The 10138-nt window shown below is 51.4% G+C and overlaps 3 annotated features.

The window, feature by feature from the left end:
- Positions 4950 to 5244: an enhancer, noted in NCBI's record as "tiled region #10236; HepG2 Activating DNase matched - State 5:Enh". NCBI's record gives its function as "activates a minimal TATA promoter and a strong SV40 promoter by Sharpr-MPRA in HepG2 cells {active_cell/tissue: HepG2}" and the evidence as "EXISTENCE:reporter gene assay evidence [ECO:0000049][PMID:27701403]".
- Positions 6970 to 7504: an enhancer, noted in NCBI's record as "H3K27ac hESC enhancer chr22:30610529-30611063 (GRCh37/hg19 assembly coordinates)". NCBI's record gives its function as "activates a minimal SCP1, AML or CMV promoter by ChIP-STARR-seq in naive H9 embryonic stem cells {active_cell/tissue: H9 hESC(naive)}" and the evidence as "EXISTENCE:reporter gene assay evidence [ECO:0000049][PMID:30033119]".
- Positions 8974 to 9619: a transcriptional cis regulatory region, noted in NCBI's record as "candidate enhancer chr22.1257 targeted for multiplex CRISPR interference". NCBI's record gives its function as "positively regulates LIMK2 gene expression with high confidence in K562 cells {active_cell/tissue: K562}" and the evidence as "EXISTENCE:mutant phenotype evidence [ECO:0000015][PMID:30612741]".

A 10138-nucleotide genomic window follows, 5' to 3' on the forward strand; every position in this document is an offset into this window, starting at 1 on the left:
AGCGATCCTCCCGCCTCAGCCTCCCAAAGCACTGGGATTACAGGCGTGAGCCACTGCACCAGGCCCTGAAACACTGCTTTGATTCTGTCTCTCTCCTACTCAGATGCCTTTGTGCAGGCCGACAATCTTTTCTGGTGTCTTCTCTGTGCGGGGCTGTGTCTGGGCACTGAGTAGACAGTAGTGAAGAAGATGATGATAGTCCTTCCCCAGGGAGTTTCCTTTCTGGAGAGAGGTTCAGATAATTAAAAAGTGAGTGCGCTCACGCCTGTAATCCCAGCACTTTGGGAGGCCAAGGCGGATGGATCACAAGGTCAGGAGTTCGAGACCAGCCTGGCCAATATGGTGAAACCCCGTCTCTACTAAAAATACAAAAATTAGCCAGCCATGATGGTGGGCACCTGTAATCCCAGCTACTCAGGAGGCTGAGACAGGAGAATCGCTTGAACTCGAGAGGCGGAGGTTGCAGTGAGCCGAGATTGCGCCATTGCACTCCAGCCTGGACGACAGAGCGAGACTCTGTCTCAAAAAAGAAAAGTGAGTGTGTGATTACAGATGAGCAGTGTGGGGGAGGAAACAAACTAGGTCTATGATGGAAATTAGGGGAATGGGGTTCCTTTAAAATGAAATCAAACTCCGAGAGCTGCGTGCTGCCTAAATGTGTCACCTCACTGCCCACTGAACACACCATATTTTTCTGCCTCACTGCCTCAGTTCCTGTAATCTCCCCATCCGGGTTCCTTTTTCCTCCCACCTTTCCAGAGTCTGTGCTGCCCACCCCGCCATCCAGAAACTTCCTTGCCCACTTAGGGCTCTGCCCTGTGGATATAAGGTCACCTTCTCATCTCTCTCCCTTCCTATGGGAAGCATAGTTATCTCATGCACCAAGGCTGCGTGAGAATTCCCTCTGACACAAGGGCCCCAGAATCTTTTATTTTGGTGCCAGGCACTGGGGAGATGCAAAATAAATAGTTCTTTAGCAAATGAGCATCCCCAGACTCTGGCTGACTGTGGAAGGTCTGGAGAATGAGCAAAGAAATCGCGTTTAAGAAATGCTCAGTGCAGGAGCCAGCCTGGACCGTGTGGATTCAGGAGGTCCACATCACATGCACGCTGTTCAGGAAGGAGGAAGGGCTAAGGGTAGGAACTGTTTGATCAGCCCCTCTTCCGGAAGCTCAGGCCCCCAGATGTTGCCTTGATTACCTATCAAAATGAGCAAATGCCAGATTCACCCAAGGCTTCGCTGACGCAGGGCACTGGAGAGAGAAAAACCACTGAGCTGATTATTTTGGCTTTATCCACCACATCTGTTTCAGCTCAGCATCTCTGCTTGTCATCTTTAAAGAGATGGCTGCAGCGTTACAGAATCTTAGAGCTGGAAATGGCCTTGGAAGTCCTCACATCTCTCCACCTCCTTTTGCAGATAAGGGTCATGTCGCTCAGAGGCTGTGACTCACCCCCGGCCACGTGGCCGGTAGGAGGCCCAGCTGGGCCCGGAAAGAGGACCGTGGTTCTCAGCTCCCAGGCCGGAGCTTTCCCCGGTTTTCCAAGCTTCCTCTTGGATCACACCAAGTCGTTTCCCCATTCGCCTCCGTTAGGCCTCACGAGTGAGAGAAGCTAGCCATGGCCCTTTCTCTCTCACTTCCCTCACTGCCCACCGCCCCCAAAAAAGGGAGAGATTCTCTTCCAGAACCAAACAGCGATGTTTTTTTTCCTCAACCGACGTCCTGTACCCTCCAAACTAGGCCCATCTCCAGGAGCACAGGCGCCTACACTCATACAGTGACTGAAAGAATGTCATCCACCCTCCCATCAACTCTGGGAACCAAGAGGCCATTTCTCAGCCACTGCACATGCCGAGGAGTCAGAGGGACTCGATTCTGCCCTGACTTGTCACACTCTCCTTGGCCAAGGCCTCCCCAAGGCATCTCAACCCCATTTTTCTGAGCCCCCCTGTTGACTGTGACCTTCCGTGCAGGCTGAGTTAGCAGGCTCTCTGGAAGGTGCTTCATGTCCATTCTGGAAGGGAGAGATTATTATCCCTACCCCCTCCCACTTTTTAGAAACAGGTATAGAAATTGAGGCTCAGCGAGGTTAAGTTACCTGGCCATGGTCACCCAGCTAGTCAGTGGTAGAGTCAGAATTCAAACCCCCACAAGGCTTCCTGTGTGCCTCAAAGGAGCTAGAGGCAGCTCAAGATGTCCCTGCATGCACGCTCAGTAACAGCACCTCAGTGCCCTGCCCGAGTGCCTGAAATCCCCTCATTGGAGTCATCTCTCAGGTGACCCCAGCCTCAGGTGGCTAGCCATTCCTTCCTGATGGAAAAGACTGAGGATGGCCAGGCACGGTGGCTGAAGTCTGTAATCCCAGCACTTTGGGAGGCCACCTGAGGTCAGGAGTTCGAGATCAGTTTGGCTAATATGGTGAAACCCCGTCTTTACTAAAAATTAAAAAATTAGCCAGGTGGCATTGGGCACCTGTAGTCCCAGCTATTCAGGAGGCTGAGGTGGGAGAATCGCTTGAACCCAGGAGGTGGAGGCTGCAGTGAGCCGAAATCACGCCACTGGACTCCAGCCTGGGTGACAGAACAAGCCTCCGTCTCAAAAACAAAAAAAGACTGAGGATAAGTGGGAGGGGAGGGTATACAAGAAGACCCTTGGCAAAGATTTGATGATCACAGGAATGGTCTGAGGCTTGACAGCAAGGCCCAGAGAGTTTGGGAGGGCTCAGGGTTGACATGCGGAGAGGAGGAGGAGGAGGAGAGAGGTCTCCAAGGCAAAGCCTGGAGGTAGGTGGGGGCAGAACATGAGGGCAGCAGCAGGAAGGTAAAATGGGTGCGGAGGACAGCAGGTTCCTCCGCTTTGAGGAATCAAAGCCCTCAGGGGCTGGCTCTGGGCAGGGATTGGTTTTGGGGCGGAAGGTGGAAGGGCCGGCGTGACTGGGAGGCATTAGTCAGCAGCGGAGCTTTATGAAAGGAGGGATTGTCCAGAGCCTCCTTACTCACCGGGCCAACTGGGTTGTCCCCAGAGCCCGGGGAGCTGGGCTGTTATCAGAAGGGGACCGGGAATTCTGTGCCGCTCACTGCCCAGGTTGAATGGCTGGGGCCACAGGGGCCAGGCGTGGGGCCCCCGTCCAGCCTCAGCGGCTGTGACTCACAGCCCTCAGCTGAGTTTCTTCATTTTCCGCTGTCCCTGGGACAGTGGGACCAGAGCCCTGGTGGGAGGCCTGACTCCCCTCTCTTGTAATAGAGGAGACCTACGGCTGATTCACAGGAGCCTGCCCCCGGCATCACCCCAGCTGACCCACTGATGCACCCCGTCTGAAATCCACGGAGTTGCAGGCATGCCTGGAAGACCCCGAGCATTTATTCATCTCTTCCTCCTTCAGTCATTCGCACAGTCATTCTTTTTATGGTTGTGTTTTTCCAATCTTTATGATTTTTTTTTCCAATGGCAAAAGTAATCTATTGAATATTAGATTCAAAAGGAATGAAATTCTGATATATGCTCCCATGTGAGTGAACTTGAGGATATTATGTTAAGTGAAATAAGCCAGACACAAAAGGACAAATACTGTGTGATTGCACTTATACGAGTCAAATTTGTAGAGACAGAAAGTAGAATAAATGTTGCCAGGGGCTGGGGAAGGGGAAAGGGAGAGTTAGTGTTTAATGGGGACAGAGTTTCACTGGGGAAGGTGGTGGTAGCGGTTGCAACATTGGGAACGTACTTAATGCCACCGAACCATACACTTAAAAATGGTTCAAATGGAACATTTAATGTCACGCGTATTTTACCGTAATAAAGAAAAACAAAAAGTGATCTATTGTTCAAACAATATATAAAAGATAAAACATAAAAGTAGATGACTGGGCTCATAATTACCCTCATTTCTCACCCTGTTACCAGTTTGGAATATCTGCTTTCGAACCTTTTAACGTCCCCACGCAATCGTGTATGTGTGGGCAAATATAGGCCCTGAGGGAGGAAGGGAATGTGATCTCCAGGTGCCAGACACATGCTCCTCATCCCTGTCTCTTTGAAGGACAATGTCATGCCTGCATCCCCAGGTGCCCAGTGGCAAGGTCGCGCATGAACAATCACCGCCATCCAGCGATGTCTTAGAGGTGTCTGGCTCGGTGCTAAGCCCTTTCACATGCATGAGCTCAATCCTTACACCAGCGTCGTGAGGAAGGTATATCTTGATGCTCACTTCAAAGTCCATTTCAAGGCCAGGTGCAGTGGCTCACCCCTGTAATCCCAGCACTTTGAGAGGCTGAGGCAGGATTGCTTGAGCCCAGGAGTTCAAGACCAGGCTGGGCAACATAGTGAGACCCTGTCTGTAAAAAATTAAAAATTAGCGGGGCATGGTGGTGGTGGTGTGCTCCTGTAGTGCCAGCTACTCAGGAGGCTGAGGTGGGAGGATCACCTGAGCCCAGGAGTTCGAGGCTACCGTGAGCCATGATCACAGCACTGCACTCCAGCCCAGGCAACAGAGTGAGACCCTGTCTCAAAAACAAAAAACAGTCCAGGCTGGGCTCAGTGGCTCACGCCTTATAATCCCAGCACTTTGAGAGGCCAAGGTGGGCGGATCACCTGAGGTCAGGAGTTCGAGACCAGCCTGGCAAACATGGTGAAACCCCGTCTCTACTAAAAATACAAAAATTAGCCAGGTGTGGTGGCATACACCTGTAATCCCAACTACTCGGGAGGCTGAAGCAGGAGAATTGCTTGAACCCGGGAGGCGGAGGTTGCAGTGAGCCGAGATCACGCCACTGCACTCCAGCCTGGGCAACAGAGCGAGACACCATCTAAAACAACAACAACAACAAAAACCCAGTCCATTTCATAAATGAAGACTCAAAGGAGGCAAAGCAGGGATGACCTGTGAGATTGTCAGGATTTGCAGAGATGCCTCTGCCATCATGTGCCCCAATCCTCAGCAGAGGGAGGCACTTGCACACTTTGTAGCAATCCCTTCATTTCTGGCTTCCCTGTTGACTGTACATTCCTAGGGAGAAGGATTATGCCAGCTTGTTCCCCGCTTGGTCCTCCACAAGCCTCGAGCACAGTAGGTGTTCAACAAATATTTGTGGAAAGAATGCTTCTCATTCATTTCTCTGTTTGATCTTCTCCCACACTCCTGTGAGGTAGCAAATTAGGCAATATGATTGCTGCTGCTGTTAGTCATCTGGTTAGCAGGCGAGATGGGGTGACTTCCTCTGGGTCACACGGCCAGGACCTGCTGAGCTGGTCTCAGGCTCCTGGCTCCCCTCCCAGGCCTTTCCAACCCTGTCATGAGGACCTTGGCTCCTGTGCTTAAAAAACAAAGATATTAATTGGGAGGAGGAAGCCTTTGAGTCATTACCAGCAACAATAATAATAATTACAATCCTTCTCCTTGTAACCTTTACCTCATGTAATCCCCACTTCCATAGCACCAGCAAGGGAGGTGCTATTATTATCTCTAATAGATTGTTCTGCAGCTAGACAGAGAGGTTGAGCAACTTCCTCAACATCACACAGCTACGAGCAACAGAGCAGAGATTCAGACCCCATCTGGTTCCAGAGCCCATAAACCACAAGTTACAAATATTGTAATCCCAAGTGGCATCCTCCACCGCACCCAGACAGACTCACAGCGCGTGTGGGCTGCGTTTGGTGAGGGAGAGGCTGAATGGAACATCCATGTATTCTCTCCTGCATTCATTCATTCACTCTCACTTAGTGAGCATTCGCTGAAACCCACCTGGGCGCCCTGCCAAGCGTCTGGCCCTAGGACACAGCAAGAGCAGGATGGTGCCCTTTCTGCCCCCAGGGAGGCTTTGGCCAGGTAGGAAAGGCAGATATCACTGTGCAATTCATTGCTTCATTAGAGCAAAGATGAGTGCCACCGGGGAGGAGGGATAAGCCTCTGTCTGCCTAAACCCAGGGTGGGGAAGGCTGCCCCTCAGAGCTGCCATCTCAGTGGCAGTTTGCGGATGGCAGGAATCAGGGAACTGAGGGTGGAGAGCGTTCCAAGCGCCTGGAATTCCATAGTCTGGGCAAAGGCTTGGATCCGACTAGGATGGAAAGATGGCCGGTGTAGTCGGAACTGGTGAGAGAGGAGGAGAGGAGTGGGGATGGGGGTTCCAGGGTAGGTGGGCCAGCACTGTCCTGCCCAGTGTCCAAACCCTCTCAGACAGAACTAAGGCTGCGGCGAATGTCTTCACTTTCACTATTATCCTTAAAGAGTAAACAGGAAGTCCAAGTTAAAAGTTCCCATTTCTGGGCCGGGTGCGGTGGCTCACGCCTGTAATCCCAGCACTTTGGGAGGCCGAGGTGGGCAGATCACGAGGTCAAGAGATCAAGACCATCCTGGCTAACACGATGAAACCCCATCTCTACTAAAAGTACAAAAAAAAAAATTTAGCCAGGCGTGGTGGTGGGCGCCTGTAGTCCCAGCTACTTGGGAGGCTGAGGCAGGAGAATGGCATGAACCTGTGAGGCAGAGCTTGCAGTGAGCCAAGATTGCGCCACTGCACTCCAGCCTGGGCAACAGAGCAAGACTCTGTCTAAAAAAAAAAAAAAAAAAAAAAAAAAAAAAATTTCCCATTTCTGCCATTTCTGGCCAGGTGCAGTGGTGCATGCCTGTAATCCCAGCACTTTAGGAGGCTGAGGCAGGAGGATTGCTTGAGTCGAGGAGTTCAAGACTAGCCTAGGCAACGTAGCAAAACCTCATATCTGCAAAAAAATTGAAAGAATTTAGCCAGGTTTGGTAGCATGCACCTGTAGTACCAGCTACTTGGGATGCTGAGGTGGGAGGATTACTTGAACCTAGGAGGTACAGGCTGAAGTGAGCCATGATTGTGCCACTGTATTCTAGCCTGGGCAACAGAGTGAGACCCCCATCTCCAAAAAAAAAAAAAGAAGTTATCATTTCTCCCCAGGTTGCTGGGCTTAGATGGGGCCTCCAGTAGGCATTTAATCCAGATGCTGCATCTGTGCTGATGTTTGCATGTGACAACGTGCTCACTGTATTGTTTGACCCTCACAGCCACCTGGAAGGAGGAAAGGAGAGCAGATGTCAGAGCCCTGTACAGAGGAGGAAACTGAGGCAAGAAAAGGCAGCATCTGAGCTCCCCGCGCTCCTTTCCTGGTGGCCTTTTCTCCACTGTAAGGTTCATTCAATAGCACCTTAGTCTCTGAGTTGCAAGGGGACATGGAGAAGGTTATATGATGTAATCCAGGTAAAGAGTCGAGCAGACAAAGGCTCAACATCAGCTTTCAGTAAACGGCGGCTGCTGTCATTGTCATGATAACCAGAGTTGTGACTCTTAGGATTCCCGTACTCGGCTTCTCCCTGACCACCTGCACTGCCATGAGTTGGGCACCAAGCCAGGAGCTAGGAGGCAGGGAGGTGTTGGAGGCATCCCCTGCTCTTAAGGAGCATACAGTGTAGCAGGGAGGCGGTAATTAGCAACCCAAGGCAGCCAGCAAAGCACCAAAGAAGGACCAGGGCTCAGGGAGTCTTTGGGGCAGGTGTGGTAGGGTATGGAAAGCAGCTTGAACCTCTGAGATGGGAACGTGGACAAGGAAGCTGCAGAAACCTCAGACGGTTTGTGGTAGGTGTTCTCTGGGGCTGGAGCAGACAGGACTGAGGCTGGTGAGTCAGTGATCATCACATTCAATGGAGTTTGAATTGTAGCTCCATCCCTCAGGATGAGCAGGCGGCCACCAGGGATCAGGTGTGAGACCCGCTGCCTGGACAGTCACAGTTGATGCTGTGGTGAAAAACTCAAGGCTAAGTCGGGCACGGTGCCTCATGCCTGTCATCTCAGCACTTTGGGAGGCTGAGGCAGGTGGATCATCTGAGGTCAGGAGTTCAAGACCAGCCTGGCCAACATGGTGAAACCCCGTCTCTACTAAAAATACAAAAATCAGCCAGGTGTGGTGGCGCATGCCTGTAATCCCAGCTTCTCGGGAGGCTGAGGCAGGAGAATCACTTGAACCCAAGAGAAAGAGGTTGCAGAGAGCCAAGATCATGCCACTGTACTCCAGTCTAGGCAACAAGAGCGAAACCCCGTCTCAAAAAAACAAAAACAGAAACAAACAAACAAACAAAAAGGCTCCACCTTTCCATGAAGCTGTCAACCAGTGCAGCAGATCCTTCTTAACCATAGTATTTATTTGGAATTTTTTTCTAATTGCAGATGTAAATTGTGCAGAATGCAGAAAGGTAGGACTCACCTGTGCATGCGTGTGTGCCTCTATGCACACACACACACACACACACACACACACAACGGGAGGAAAAGCCAAGATCATTTATAGCTCACTACCCTGGGTAGCCCTGGTTAACCCCTCAGAGTACCTCCCTCCAGTCTTTCATTTATTCCCTGAAGGGGTTGATTCCAAGTGCTGTAAGATAGGGAAACCCAGGGAGGTGATGGGGACCAGGGAAGTCGGGATGGCCTTGGGGAGAAGGTGAGATTCAGACTCAGTCTTAAAAGAGGGGCCAGTTTGAAAAGACCAAGGTAGAAGAAGAGGAATTCCAGACGAGGGGACCAGCACGGCTAAGGCACACAGTTGGGGAAATCAATGAGGAACATGATCATTTATGGAGCACTTACCCACAGGCCAGCCTCTGATATGCAACACATGTGTTACCTGGCTGGGTGTGGAGGCTCATGCCTGTAATCTCAGCACTTTGGGAGGCCGAGGCAGGAGGATCGCTTGAGTCCAGGAGTTCAAGACCAGCCTGGGCAACATAACAAGATCCCAACTCTACAAAAAAATTTTAAAAATTAGCCAGGTGTGGTGGCATGGGTCTGTAATCCCAGCTACTCAGGCGGCTAAGGTGGGAGGATCACTTGAGCCCAGGAGGTTGAGGCTGCAGTGAGCCATAATTGTGCCACTGCACTCCAGCCTGGGCAACAGAGTGAGACCCTGTTTCAAAAACCAAAAAACCAAAAACCTTATGTTACGTGACTGGATTGGACAACCCATGGGGTGGAGACAAGAATAGCCTCATTTCAGGGTGAGGAAACTGAGACACTCACACCCCTTAGCCATTCTGTGGCTGTGGTTCAGAACCAGGACTGGCTCACACCCAAGTTAAGTGGGGGCTGCCTAGAATGGGGACTGGTTGTTGGGGATTGGGACCCCCTGAGTTCCAGTGGCCTGGGCGCTCGGAGTGTCTGTCCTTCTGAGGAAGGGGACGGAGCATCAGGAGCCAGGACAGTAAGGGAAGTGTGAAGGAGGAGGGTGTGAGGGGACGTCACCTGCTCCCCTCCCGTGCCAAAGAGGCTTTATCAGGGCATTGCAGACCCTGCCAATCGCCACTGCTCATCTGAAGCTGGGCTTCTCTGAGTATGGGCCTGCTGTCCTCGAGACAAGAGATAAGGCAGCCCCAGTCAACAGGCCTCTAAATGTTGGTGACCAAGCAGAAGCCACACAAGGCTGATGGCCGGCTGGAAGGGAGGCCTCGCCAGCATCTTCTTCTGCCCACCTCCCCTGGCCACTCCGGGTTGGGGAGGTAGGGGTGGGGGAAGGGCAGACCCAGGTAAGAAAAACAGCAATAAGAAAGATTTTTAAAACCCCACACATGGCTGGGCATGATGGCTCACGCCTGTAATCCCAGCACTTTGGGAAGCCAAGGCAGGTGGATCTCTTGAGGTCAGGAATTCAAGACCAGCCTGGCCAACATGGTAAAACCCTGTCTCTACTAAAAATACAAAAAATTAACCGGAAGTGGTGGCGAGCGCCTGCAATCCCAGCTGCTCGGGAGGCTGAGGCAGGAGAATTGCTTGAATCTGGGAAGCAGAGGTTACAGTGATCTGATATCACGCCACTGGACTCCAGCCTAGGTGACAGAGTGAGACTGTCTCAAAAAAATAAAAAATAAACATAAATAAAAATAAAATCCTGCACGTTTCCGCCATGCCTTTGGTTCACAAAGTGCTTTGACTCTCATTATCAGTGTGAAAAGGAAACGTGGGGGCCTCAGAGCCAGCCTGAGGTCCAGGCCTCACATCACCACTTTCTGGCTGTGTGACTATGGGCAGGTGACTTCACTCACCTCTCTGAGCCTCAATTTCCTCACCTGTAAAATGGCAACAGTAACACCATCTCCCCTCTTCTGAGCTCAGTGTCCAGCCAGC

Source organism: Homo sapiens, chromosome 22 (genome assembly GCF_000001405.40).
Source record: "Homo sapiens chromosome 22, GRCh38.p14 Primary Assembly".
Lineage (NCBI taxonomy): Eukaryota > Metazoa > Chordata > Mammalia > Primates > Hominidae > Homo > Homo sapiens.